We start from the raw sequence: 13066 nt of genomic DNA, 5'->3' as shown, positions 1-13066 counted from the left end.
TCAGGTGGGCAACAACAGGGACTGGTGGGAGAATCCCAGTGATACATATAAGCCAAAGAGACCAAAATAACACCATGAAGGCTCTGAAATTAAATTGCCATTGGAATCACAGCCCACAAAGTAGACCAAGACCTACAGACTAAACCTAAACAGGAGGACTGCCTGCAAAAATAAAAAAATTACATAGGCAGATGTTGGAACCATCTGACTCATCACTTATAACAGTCAGTATAAAAATGCTTCAACAAGCAACTACAAATCCTATGGCAACAATCAAAGAACTGAAAACATCAGCAAAGAAACTGAAGAATCAAATGGAAATTACAGAAATATAAAATCCAGTAACAGAAATTTTAAAAAAACTAACTGGATGGGCCCTATTGAGTAAAAGTGGAGACGACAGAGGAGAGAATCAGAGAAGCTGAAACCTGATCAACAGAATTCACCCAGTCTAAACAAGAGAGAGAAAATAACCTGAAAACAAATGAACAGAGCTGCACGGACCTGTGGGACGATAACCCCGCATTTATGTTATCTGAGTCCCATAGGAGACCAGAGCTGTGAAAGCATGCAAATAACTAATTCCTGAGGCTTCCCACATTTGGTGAAAGATATAAACTTACAGATTCAAGAAGCTGAGCAAACCTCAAAGTATACCAAAAGAAAGCAACACCAATTAAACTTTCAAAACTAAAAACAAAGACCAAAAATGGCAGAATGCCTGTAGGGACACGCCAACTCAAATGCCATGGAGGCCAGAAGGAAGTGGCACAACATTTTCAAGTGTTTAAAAAAAAAACAACCAAACAAAAAAACCAACCAAACAAAAAAACTGTTCGCTGCAAATTCTATATCCCATGAAACTACCCTTCAGAAATGAAGAGAGAAATAAAGACATTCTCAGAGGAAGAGAATATAGGAATTTGTCACTGGTCAATTTAGAAATGCTAAAAAGTGGCTACAGAAATATGTTCTGTCATTTCCACAATACAAAAAATTAAAACAAAAAAATCAAAACAAAAAAATGGCTACAGAAAGTTCTTATGCAGAAGGGATGAATATGGGACTATAGGAGGAGGGACAAAGGAAAGACCAGAAATGTGGATACATACGCGAGACAATCCACAGTTCTTAAAATCACATTTGACGACTGAAACAAAAACTATACCACCACCTAATACTCAAGCCAGTGATTTATACAAGTGGAAAAGGTAAAGAGACATAAATGCAAGGCAGGTTTCCACACTTTGAAGTGGTAAATACTGGTACCAGTAGACTACTGTATTACAATACACATATTGTAACATCCAGAGCAAACACTTTAAGACTATACAAAGAGATACGAGCAACAACATTATACAGAAATAGATCAAGATGGAGGGAAAGAAAAAGGAAACGAAAAAGCAAATAATAAAAACATCAGACATAAGCAATTATGTAACTATAAGCACCTTAAATGTAAATGGTCTAAATAAACCAAAAGACAGATTGATGGAGAGCCTATAATAAACACATGGCCCAACTAAATACTGTTCATAAGAAACTTCAAACTCACTTAAGGACCTAAGTAGGTTGAAAGTAAAAGAATGGAGAAAGATATCCTGTGAAATCATTAATTTTTTAAGGAAGCAGGAGTGAATATATTAATATCTCATGAAGTAGACTTCAAGCAAAATAATTTACCAGAGCTGGAGAGGGTCTTCGCTGAATTTTAAGATCTAAAATTTCCTATGCTGCCTTGACATCTTTGAGCCTCACAGGGCCCCAAAGGCCTAGCCGTGGGTTTTCCTGTTTCTACCAGACACCCCCTACCCTGCCACCCAACAGGAAAGGCTCCCCACCTGGCTAGTTCTTTTATCAGCCAAACAGTTGCACCTCAGCCTAAGAAGCTTCACTTCACCTGTCTGCCAGCCCATGAATTTATTCAAACAAGCCAACTGCATTCCCCCTCGGGAACCATTGGTCATTGTGTGCTCTTGTTACTATCAAGCCTGCCTGCTTCCTCAGCCCACAGCCCTCACTCCGCTACAGAGTGCGGTGCCCATCTGACCCTGTGTGGCATGCAGTGTCCTCCTCTGAGCTGTGGGTATATGTGACTAAAACACTGCTGTCAATCTCATCCATCCACGCCAGGTGTCGTGTTCAGCCATCTCCTACACTTTAGGGCAGGGACCCCTCCTTCACCAATGGGGTGAAAAGGAAGTGACCATAACAACTGCTTAATGACAAAAGGATTAACCCACCAAGAAGACATCTACTTCAACATCCTCCTCTTAGCAACTGTTAAAACTAGGCAGAGGCCGGGCACAGTGGCTCATGCCTGTAATCCCAGAACTCTGGGAGGCAAAGACAAAGGATAGCTCGAGGCCAGGAGTTCGAGCCTGGGCAACATAGCAAGGCCTCATCTCTCCAAAAAATTTTAAATTTAGCCAGGTGTGGCGGCACACACCTATAGTACCAGCTACTCAGGAGGTTAAGCCAGGGGAAGTACTTGACCCTAGGAAGTCAAGGCTGCAGTGAGTCATGTTCGTGCCACCGCACTCTAATGTAAGTGACAGAGTGAAACTAGGCAGAAAAGGAGCAAGGATTTACAAAAGATCTGAACAGTCAACCAGCAAAATCTGACATCCGTATAACACCCCACTCCCCAACAGCAAAACACACACATTTTTAAAGCCAATAGAAATCTACCAAGATGAAGTACATTTGGGGCAATAAAAGAAATCACAGCCGTGCCCCTCTCTGCGCTTTCTTTTCTCACCATGGGGAGGCGTTTGGGGGCCTCTTGAGGGACCCCCTAGATGCTTCTACTCAGAGCCCCCAAAGCCGGGGAGCCTCCACTCCTCTGTATGCAGCCTCCCCTGTCGGTTCTCGCTACCCAGGGTTCAGTGGCCTGGGGGCTGACGGAGGGGGTCGCCTCTGCCAAGGCCCCTCCCGGCGCCTCCCTAGCTCATCCAGCCCACCTTCCTCCCACGCTGGCTCACGCAAAGTGCTCTGGTTACCAGGAGCCCTTCCTGACCAGCCCCGGCCCCTTCTTGGCCTTCGCCCACCTGGCCTCCCCTGGAGCCCTGACCTGGGTGCCGGGCCTGCTGGGTCCAGAGCCCACCCCGCCCTGAACAACCCCGAGTCTCAGCCACCCTCAGTTCTTACCCTTTCACAGCTGGGGAGTGGAGTCTGGGCCGGCGCCTCGCTGTGCCGCGCTGTGCGCCTCTCCGCGCCTGCGCCGCCGCTGTGCCCCTCTCCGCGCCTGCGCCGCCGCTGTGCGCCTCTCCGCGCCTGCGCCGCCGCTGTGCGCCTCTCCGCCGCTGTCCGCCTCTCCGCCGCGCCGCCGCTGTCCGCCTCTCCGCCGCTGTCCGCCTCTCCGCCGCTGTCCGCCTCTCCGCCACGCCGGCGCTGTGTGCCTTTGCGAGGGCGGAGCTGAGTTCTCCTTTGCACAGACTTCGGAGATACAGCGAAGGCAGAGCAATGTTCTCCTCAGCACAGACCCGGGCGGGCGGGCCGGTGGCACCGCGAGGGCGGAGCTGCGTTCTGCTCTGCACAGACCTTGGGGGCACTGCCTCGCTTTGGGACACCTCGGGGCCGCATCGACGGTGAATAAAATCCTTCCTGTTTGCAGCCCTGTTTGTGGTTGGTGGCAGCGATGGACACTGCAGCCAGCCAGAGCGTAGAAAGGCGTTGGGGTAAGCGCGCTATCCAGGCTGCACTGCGGGTGGCCTGGGACCGGTTGGGAGCCCTATCTCAGGCGTCACTGCCCGTCTTGGGTGGCTGGTTGGGTGTGCTATCTGGGGCTGTGCTGCCTGCACGGGGGGATGGTTTGGGAGCCCAAACCGGGGCTGCACTGCCTTTGGCGGGGAGCCGGTTGGGGGCACTATCCCAGACTGTATTGCTGGCAACAGTGAGGTGGGCTAAGTGTGCTATCCGGGGCTGCACTGTGCGGCTGTGGGCGGTGGGGGGGTGGGTGGCGGTTTCGGGTTGAGGGCGCTATGGGGTGCTGTAATGCCCATGGTGCGGGGAGGCGGGGCGGCTTGGGTATGTTGGGTGTGCTGTTGCGGGGGGGCGACACTGCTGGTGGTAGGGGGCAGGGTGGGTTGGGGGCCATATCAGGGGCTGTACTGATTGCTTTAGCTAGGATTTCTGGTACTATGTTAAACAACAGTGGTGACAGGGGGCATCCTTATCATGTTCCAGATCTTAGAGGAAAAGCTTTCCGTTTTTCCCCATTCCATATGATTCTAGCTGTGGGTGTCTTTCCTGTAGTTTTTATTATGTTGCGGTATGTTTCTTCTGTGCCCGTTTCTTTGAGGATTTATAGCATGAAGGGATGTTGAATTTCATCAAATGCTTTTTCGGTTTCAGTTGACGTGATCATACTGTTTTTGTCGTTTATTTGGTTGATATGATGTATCACATTGTATGTTGAGTGACCCTTGCATCCCAGGGATACATCCCACTTGATCATGATGAATTATCTCTTTAATGTATTACTGAATTTGATTCACTGGTATTTTGTTGAGGATTTTTGCATCAATATTAGAGATCCTGGCCTGTAGTTTCCTTCTTTGATGCTTTTGTCTGATTTTGTTATCACAGTAATAATGGTCTCATAGAATAAGTTTGGAAGTATTCCCTCCTGTTTTTCAAAATAGTTTGAGCAGGATTCGTACTAGGTCTTTAAATTGTTTGGTGTGAAGCCATCAGCAGTGAAGACATCAGTTCCTGGGCTTTTCTTTACTGGGAGACTTTTTCTGATGGCTTCAATCTCATTACTTGTTACCAATCTGTTCTGGTCTTGGATGTTTTCATTGTTTAACCTAAGTAGGTTGTATGCATCTAGGAATTTGCCAATTTCTACTAGGCTTTCCAATTTATTGGCATATAATAGCCAGTTATGATCCTTTGAATTTCTGAAGTATTAGTTGTAATGTCTCCTTTTTTTAATCTGTTGATTTTATTTATTTGAATCTTGTCTCTTTTCTTAGCCTGGTTAAAAGTTTGTCAATTTTGTTTAGCTTTCCAGAAAACCAACTTTTCGTTTAATCTTGTGTGTTTTTTATTTCAATTTTGTTTCTGCTACGATCTTATTTATTTTCTTATTTTCGGTTTAGTTTGTTCTTTACTAGTTCTTTAAGATGTATTGTTTATTTGAAGTTTTTCTTTTGTTTGGATGGTAGGCACTTGTAGCTGTAAATCTCTGCCTTTGTATGGCTTTCTGCGTAACAAGTTTTGGTATACTGTGTTTTCATTACCCTTTGTTTCATGAAATTTTTGAATTTCTGTCTTAGTATCTTCATTGACCTGCTAGTCATTTATTCAGGAGGGTAGTGTTTAACTTCCATGTGATTGTATTGTTTCCAAAATTACTTTTCTTATTGATACCTAGTTTTATTCCTTTGTAGTGAAAGAAGATGGCCATGGAGACAGACAGCAGCATGGTCAGAGTGGTAGGAGCCGGCCATCAGCGAGAGCTGCTCCATGCCTGGCTGCTGGATGCTAGAGCCTGCGGCCCACTGGCTTGCCTCACTGTGGTTGCTGGTGGTGGTGACAGAGACTGCAGCATGAACAGAGTGGTAGGACAGGGGCTATCCAGGGCTGCACCTTTCGCAGTGTGGGGTGGGTTGGGGGCGCTATCCAGGGTGTCATTGCCTGCATTAGGGGTACTGGTTGGTAGCACTGTACAGGGCTGCACTGCCCACAGCAGGGAGGGTGGGTTATGGGCGCTTTCTGGGGCTTCAGTGCCCATGGAGGAGGACAGGTTAGGGCATTATCGGGTATACGCTACTGGCGGCATTGGGGGACGGAGGTGGGGGGCGCTATTGAGGGCAGGACTAGCCGTGGAGCGGGGGCGAGTTCGGTGCTATCAGGGGCTGCACTGCTGGCGGCGGTCAACAGAGTTGGCATCCAAGGAAGGAGTGGTTCTCCTCTCCCTGACTCCACACTCCAGAGGGCGACCCACTCTTGGTCATACTGGAATGCGGCAGGGCACACAGCGTTTGCGTGGGAATCCTGAGCATGGCAGAGCCCCCACACCCACCGTGGTTCCTGGGCCTGTGCACTCTGGGTCTGTGCCTCAGAGGCTGCCAGGCACCCCTGGGGACACCATGGGGGACAGGGCCCTGTGCGTGGAGGCGTCCGGAACAGGAATTGGCACCTGGGTGCGGAGGGCTGGCTGGGTCTGAATTTTTCTGCTTCTCCTGCTCCCCGAGGAGTGCAGCCCCGGTGGGCCCAATGGTTCCTGTGGAGTGGGGAGCTGGGTGCTGTGATATCTCCAGCACCCACCCCAGACCCCAGTTCCCGGCCAGCTTGGGCCAAAAGGAGAGGCTGGACTTTGGAGGGTGGGTGTGAGTGCCTTTGCTGAAACTGGCCCCTGCCACCCAGTGGCTGGCATGACAAGTTGAGGCTCTAACCCTTCCACCCCTCACATCTTCCTCTAGGCTTTTCTGGCTTTGCCTGCCCAGCTGCTCCGTGCCAGGAGGAGGAGGAGACACCTTGAGCCTGCGACACCACGGCTTGCCTCGCTGCGGGTGGGTGGCAGTGACGGAGATTGCAGTGCGCCAGAGCGGTAGGAGAGCGGCCGCACTAGGAGGGCAGGTGGCTGCAGCCAGGGTTGGGGTTCAGGCTTACAGCGATGGACGGGCTGCAGCAGTGGCCAGGTGGTAGGAGCCTTGTAGGGAGGGCTGGTGCATTGGCAATGGGCCTGGCTTTGCCCTGCGCCTGCCATGGATCTGGCCCTGTACTGCCCTGCCTTGCCCTATACCTGCTCTACTGTTACCTGGACTCTCGGCCCTGTCCTGCTCTGCTCCCATCCTGACCCTGTCTTGGCCCTGTGCTACCCTGTCCCTGCCCTGGTCTTGCCCTGGCACTGGCCCTGCCCTGAACCTGCACTGGCCTGACCTTGGCTCTGGCCCTGGCTCTGGCCCTGCCCCTTGTCCTGACCCTGGTCCTGTCATGGCACTGGCCCTGCCAATGGTCATGGTCCTGCTCCTGTTCTGGCCCTGACCTGGCCTTGGACATGTCCTGGCCCTGCTTTGGCCCATCCCTGCCCTGGCCCCACCATGGGCCTGCCTGTTCTGCCCTCTCCTGGTGCTGACCTTGCCCTGTCATGGCCCAGTGGTGCCATTGTCCTGCCTTACCCTGCGCTGGTTGTGCCTTGGCCCCGCTTGGTGCTGGCCGCTCCCTGGACCTGCCCTGGACCTGCCCTGACCCTGCCTTGGCTTTTGCCCTGCCCTCACTATGGCCTGGCCCTGGCCCTAGCCCTGGTCCTGCCATATCCCTGGCCCTGCCCTTATCCAGGCCCTGCCCCTGCTGCTGCCCTAGCCCTGGCCTGGAACCTGGTCCTGTCAAGGACCTGCCCTGACTCTGCCATGGCCCTGGCCCTGCTCTGCCTTGTTCAGACCCAGACCCTTTCCTGGCTCTGCACTGGCCTTTCCTTGGCCCTGAGCTGGCAGTGGTCTGCCCCTGGTCTTGCCATCACCCTGCCCTGTTGTGCTCTGGATGTGTCATCACCCTGACCTGGCCCTACTCTGCCTTTGACCCTGCCCTGGCCTTACCTTGGCCCTCACCCTAGTCTTCGCTAGACCCTCATCTGGAGCTGGCCCTAGCACAGACCTGGCCCTGATCCTGGCCCTGGTCTTTGTCCTGCCATAGCCCTGGGCCTGAAGTGGACTTGGAGGTGTCCTGGCCCCGGCATGACATGGCTCTGCATTGGCCTGTCCCTGCCCTGCCGCTACCATCGCCTTGCCCTGCTCTGCCCTGTCCCAGTACTGACCCAGCCATGCTATTTCCCTGCCCTACCCTGTCTTGGCTGTGCCCTGGCTCGGTTCTGTCCCTGGCCCCGGCCCTGCCCTGGACATGCTCTGACACTGCCTCAGCCTCGGCACTAGCCTGGCTCTTTCTTGGCATCAGCCCTGCTCTCTCTCTGGACTGGCTCTTGTCCTGTCCTGCACTGGCCATACCATGCCCTGCCTTGCCCTGCCCTGACTCAGCCCTGGCTCAGCCCTGGCCCAGCCTTGGCCTTGGCATTGCCCCTGGTCCTGCCATATTTCTTGCCCTGTCCCTACCCTGGCCTTGGCCCTGACCCTTACCTTGCTCTGGCCCTGCCCTTGCCCTAACGCAGCCCCTGGCCGTGTCATGGCCCTGCCCTGGACCTGTCCTGGCCCTGGCCCTTCCCTGCTTCAGACCTTGCCCTGGTTCTCCCCTGGCCCTGACCCTGAAATGCCTGGCCCTACCCTGGCCTTGCACTGCTCTGGCCCTTGCCCTGACTCTGGTCCTGTCACTGGCCTAGCCCCAGCCCTGTTGCTGGTCTTATCAAGGCCCAGACCCTGCCTTGGCCCTGCCCTGACACTGTCCTGGACCCTGGCTGTGCCAAGAACCTGCACTGTCCTTACCCTTGTTTTGCTCCTGCCCCGAACCTGGTCCTGCCTAGGCTGTGGCCGTGGCCCTGCCCCTGGCCCTGCCCCTGGCCCTGCCCAGGTCTTGGTACTGGCCTGGCCCTGCCCTGCCTTGGCCCTATGCTTTCCTGGCCCTGCCTTGCCAGCCCTGGCCCTGCCTTGGCCCTAGCCTGGCTTTGACCCTGCCCTGGCCCTACCTTGGCCTTCTACCTAGCCTTACCTGGGCACTGTGTTGGACCTGGCTATAGCACAGACCTGGTTGTGGCCCTGGCCCTGCCGTGGCCCTGGCCCAGACCCTAGCCCTGCCAGGTACCTGTCCTGGCCCATCTCTGGGCCTGGCTTTGTCCCTGGTTCTTAGATGAACCTGGCCCTGCCCCTGCCCTTGCCCTTGCCCTGGCACTGGCCTTGGACATGTCCGTGGTCCTAACCCTGGCCCTGCCCTGGAGCTGCCACTGTCTTGGCCCTGCCCTGGCTCTGGCCCTGCCCTGGCCCTGGCCCTGCCCCGGCCCCAGCCATAGACCTGCCCTGGTTGGTCGTGCCCTACCTTAACCCTGTGCTACCCTGGGCCTGCATCACCCTGCCCTGGCCCTGCCCTCCCTTTGGCCCTGCCCTGACCCCGCCTTGGCCCTCACACTGGCCCTAGCACAGACCTGGTCCTATGTGTGGCCTTGGCCTGGCATTGACCCCTGCTCCTGACCCTGGTCCTGCCATGGCCCTGGCCCTGCCAATGACCCTGGCAGCCCTGACCCTGGCCCTGCCAATGACCCTGGGAGCCCTAACCCTGGCCCTGTCTTGGCCCTGGCCCTGGCCCTGAACTGGCCCTGCCCTGACCCTGGCCCTGAAGTGGATTTGCAGGTGTCTTGTCCCTGATTTAATCTGGTCTTACCATGGCCCTGTCCCTCCCCTGGCTCTGTCCTGGTCTTGTGCTGACCCTGACCCAGACCTTGGCCCTGCCCCAGCCTTGTCCTAGACCTGGCCATGGCCCTGCGTCTGCCCTGGACCGGCGCTGGCACTGGCATGGACCCTGGCCCTGGCCCTTCGCTACTTAAGGCCATACCCTGGCCCAGCCCTGGTCCTGACCCTGTCCTGGCCCCAGCCCCGTTGCTGGTCCTGCCATGGCCCTTGTCCTGACATTGCCCTTTCCTGGTTCTGGCCCTGGCCCTGTCCCAGCCCTGCTCTGGCCCTGGTCTGAACCCTGGCCCTGCAACAGACCTGCCTTGGTCCTGCCCAGACCCTGGCTCTGGCCCTACCTCTGCCCTGGCCATACCCTTGCCCTGGCCTGGACCCCGGTCCTGGTCCTTGTCCTGCCCCAGCTGTGGCCCTGGCCCTGCCCTGCCTGTGCCCTCTTCTATCCTGGGCTGGCCCTGCCATGGCCTGGTCTTGCCATTGCCCTGCCCTAGCCTGCTCTGCTTGTGCCCTAGATCTGCCCCGGCCTTTGCCCCTGTCTTGGTTCTAGCCTTGACTCAGCCCTGGACCTTCCCTGACCTTGCCTCAGCCCTGGCACTACCCTGGCCTTGCCTTGGCATTTGCCCTACTCTCTCTATGGCCTGGCTCTGGTCCTGCCCTGCTCTGCTCTTGTTCTGTCCTGGCACAGCCCTGGCCCTGGCCCTGGCCCTGCCGTATCACTGGCTCTGGTCCTGCCCTTATGCAGCCCTGACCCTGCCACTGCCTTGGCTTTGGCCTGGACCTTGGCCATACAGTGACCCTGCCATGACCCTTTCCTGGCCCTGGCCTGGAACCTGGCCCTGCCAAGGACTTGCCCTGGCTCTGTCATAGCCCTGGCCCTTTCCTGGATTTGGATGTGTCCTGTCACTTATTTGCCCTGGCCCTTCCCTGGCTCTGCCATACCCCTTCTGTGGGGTAGGGCCAGGGTCAGGACCAGACCAGGGCAGGGTCAGGACCAGGGTAGGGCCGTGGTAAGGCCTGAAGATGGGAAGGGCCAGGGCAGCGGCTGGACCAGGGAAGGGTCAGGGCCAGGGATGTAGTAGGACTAGGGGCAGAGCCAGCACTAGGGCTGAGCCAGGGCAGAGCAGGAGAGATTACATTAGGCTATTATGTAAAATTTTTATTTTAGATTTTTAAGATAACTATAGTAGTAGTAATGTCTATACTATGTTGTTTGTAATAGTAATAATATTTGCAGTAATCACTAAATTTTAACTAATACTGTCTTTGTTTCCAGTAGTGTTCTATGAGTATAATTTTATCAATATGTAAATATGTGAGGCATTGATTCTCACAATAATTCTATGTGCTAGGTACTTAAAGCATCCCCATTTTCCAAATGTAGGAAACAGGCATAAAGAAGTTAAATACTTGGCCAGATTACTCCTGTAATCCCAGCACTTTGGGAGGCCAAGGCAGGCAGATGGCTTGAGCTCAGGAGTTTGGAACCAGCCTGGTCAACATTGTGAAACCCCATCTCTACTAAAAATGCACAAAAAGAACTAATTTAAGTTTCTTGTAGGATTCTGGTTATAAAACAGTGGTCAAACACACAGGGCATGGATAGGGCAGGGCCAGGGACAAGGTCAGGCCAGGAAGGGTCCAGGGCCAAGGCAGGGCCAGAGCTGGACTTGGAGGTGTCCTGGTCTGATTTGTCCTGCCCCAACATTGGCCCAGCCCTGCTCTGGCACGTCCTGTCATGCCCTGTCCCTGGCCTGAGCATTGGCCCTGGCCCTGTCCTGCTTCTGGCCCTGCCCCGGAGTTGACCAGGCACTGCCATGGCCCAGTCCTGCATTGCCCTGCCCTCCTCTGCCCTGGTGCTACCATGGCCCTGCTTGGGCCCTAGCTCTGCCTCGACTCTGGACCTGCCCTGACTCTGCTCAGCCCTGGATCTACCCTGACTCTGCCTTGGTGTTGCCCTCCCATCTCTATGGCCTGGCTCTGGCCGTGCCTTGCACAGGCCATGCTCTGCCCTGCGTGTCCCAGCCTGGGCCCAGCCCTCGTCCTACCATATTCCTGACCCCAGCCATACCCTTGTTCTGGCCGTGACCCTGCCGTGGCCCTCTCCTGGCCCTTCCCCTTGGTCCTGCCCTGCCCTTCCATGCCCTGGCCTTGCCCTCACCCTGCGTTGGCCCTGCACTGGTCCTGCCCTGCCCTGGCACTGCCTTGGCCCCGGCCTTGCCTTCTCCCTGGCCTTGCCTTTGCCCTGCCCTGGCCTGACCCCAGGCCTACCGAGTCCATGAAATGGCCCTGGACCTGCCTTGCCATCCTCTGTCCTGGCCCTGTATTGTCCCCACCATGCTGTGGTCCAGCGCTTGCCCTGGCCCTGTTGCTAGTCCTGCCACTGCTATGGCCCTGCCCTGTTTTTGGCCATGCCCTGTGCTACCCTAGCCCTGCCCTGCCTTGGCCTTGGCCCTATCATGGCCTTCTCCTACCCTGGCCTGGCCCTACCCTGGCCTTGCCCTGCCCTGGTCTTGCCCTGCCCTGGTCTTGCCCTGCCCTGGCCTTGGCTTTGCCTTATCCTGGTCCTGGTTCTTCCCTGACCCTGGCCTTGCTCTGGATCCTCTCTGGTTCTGCTTTCTCCCTGGCCCTGCCCTTGCTCTGGCCCTGTCCCTGGCCCAGCCTTGACCCTGACCCTGGCCCTGACAATCCCCAGGTCTGACACTGGCCATGCTTGGCCCTGGCCCCTCCTTTTGGCCCTGCCCTGGCCCTGCCTTGGCCCTGTGCTATCTTAGTCCTGCCCTGGCCCTGAACTCGCCCTGGCCCTACCCTCACCCTACCCTGGCCCCACCCTACCCTGGCCTTGCCCTGCCCTGGCCCTGCCTTTGGCCTGCCCTGGCTCTGGTTCTGCCCTGGCCTTGCCCTTGCCCTGGACCCTCCCTGGCCATGTTTTTTCCATGGTCCTTCTCTGGCCTTGCCCTTGCCCTGTCCCCTTTCTGGTCCTGCCATGTTTCTGGCCCTGCCCTGTCCATGTCCTGGACCTGACTCTGGCCCTGGACCTCCCTGTCCCTGCCCTGCCATACCCTGGCCCGTTCCTTGCTCTACACTGACCCTGCCCTGCCTTGGCCCTGTGCTACCCTAGCCCTGCCCTGGCCTTCTGCTGACCCTGATCCTGCCATGGCCCTGGCCCTGCCATGTCCCTGCCCTGGCCCTGGTTCTGCCCTGCTTCTGGCCCTGGCCTTGGTCCTCTCATGTCCCTGGCTGTGACCCTGCCCCTGGTTTTTCTCTGGCCATGACCCTGCCCCGGTTCTGTCCTATCCCTGGCCCTGTCTCAGTTCTGTCCTAGCCCTGGCCTTTCACAGTACTTTATGCTTAGTAAGGGCTCCATGGTGTCTGTGAGTTGAATGTTGTATTCATAGTATCTGCCAAAACAGAAAGAAAAAAAACAAAATATTTTGATAAGAAGTTAAAGCTTTGTATATAATATGCCTTGAATTGTAAGTGCCTGTTATTAGTTGTATTACATATAGGTCATGGTTTTGTACACATAACTCCAAACCATTGATACTGTTAAAAGAATATATGAATATATGAAAGAATGTATAAACGTAAGAATGTGTCAGTATCTAATGACCTTTCCAAATTAATTTTTATTTTTAGCTCTGTTAGATTTTTCTCAGTGTAACAAATGTTTATTCCTATGTAATTAAGGGCGTATTTCCTGTACAGAATATTCATATTACCTAATTGAAAATTATATGATACAAAAATATAATACTATTTTTAGCCAGGCA

The 13066-nt window shown here is 54.7% G+C and overlaps 1 long non-coding RNA gene, 1 pseudogene and 1 further gene across 2 annotated transcripts in view, besides 2 other annotated features; 1 reads left to right on the top strand and 2 right to left on the bottom strand.

Annotated features, from left to right (window-relative positions):
- BMS1P20 (BMS1 pseudogene 20) overlaps positions 1-3264 on the bottom strand; it is a 24871-nt pseudogene extending 21607 nt beyond the window's left edge. The window contains 1 exon segment of the transcript NR_027293.2: positions 3151-3264. The product of NR_027293.2 is annotated as a BMS1 pseudogene 20 (transcript).
- Positions 1-13066, bottom strand: part of IGL (immunoglobulin lambda locus) — an 896838-nt gene that overhangs the window by 621552 nt on the left and 262220 nt on the right.
- Positions 3118-3417: a silencer, noted in NCBI's record as "silent region_13524". NCBI's record gives its function as "represses an Ori minimal core promoter by ATAC-STARR-seq in GM12878 lymphoblastoid cells {active_cell/tissue: GM12878}" and the evidence as "EXISTENCE:reporter gene assay evidence [ECO:0000049][PMID:35858748]".
- Positions 3210-13066, top strand: LOC105372952 (uncharacterized). Its single transcript, XR_938055.3, has 3 exons — positions 3210-3680; positions 5397-5567; positions 6432-13066. It is a non-coding gene; the product is annotated as an uncharacterized LOC105372952 (long non-coding RNA).
- Positions 10802-11309: an enhancer, noted in NCBI's record as "H3K4me1 hESC enhancer chr22:22644419-22644926 (GRCh37/hg19 assembly coordinates)". NCBI's record gives its function as "activates a minimal SCP1, AML or CMV promoter by ChIP-STARR-seq in naive H9 embryonic stem cells {active_cell/tissue: H9 hESC(naive)}" and the evidence as "EXISTENCE:reporter gene assay evidence [ECO:0000049][PMID:30033119]".

Source organism: Homo sapiens, chromosome 22 (genome assembly GCF_000001405.40).
Source record: "Homo sapiens chromosome 22, GRCh38.p14 Primary Assembly".
In the NCBI taxonomy this organism is placed as follows: domain Eukaryota; kingdom Metazoa; phylum Chordata; class Mammalia; order Primates; family Hominidae; genus Homo; species Homo sapiens.
Note: the sequence above shows the minus strand (reverse complement) of the source record. Positions and strands in the feature narration are given on the sequence as shown.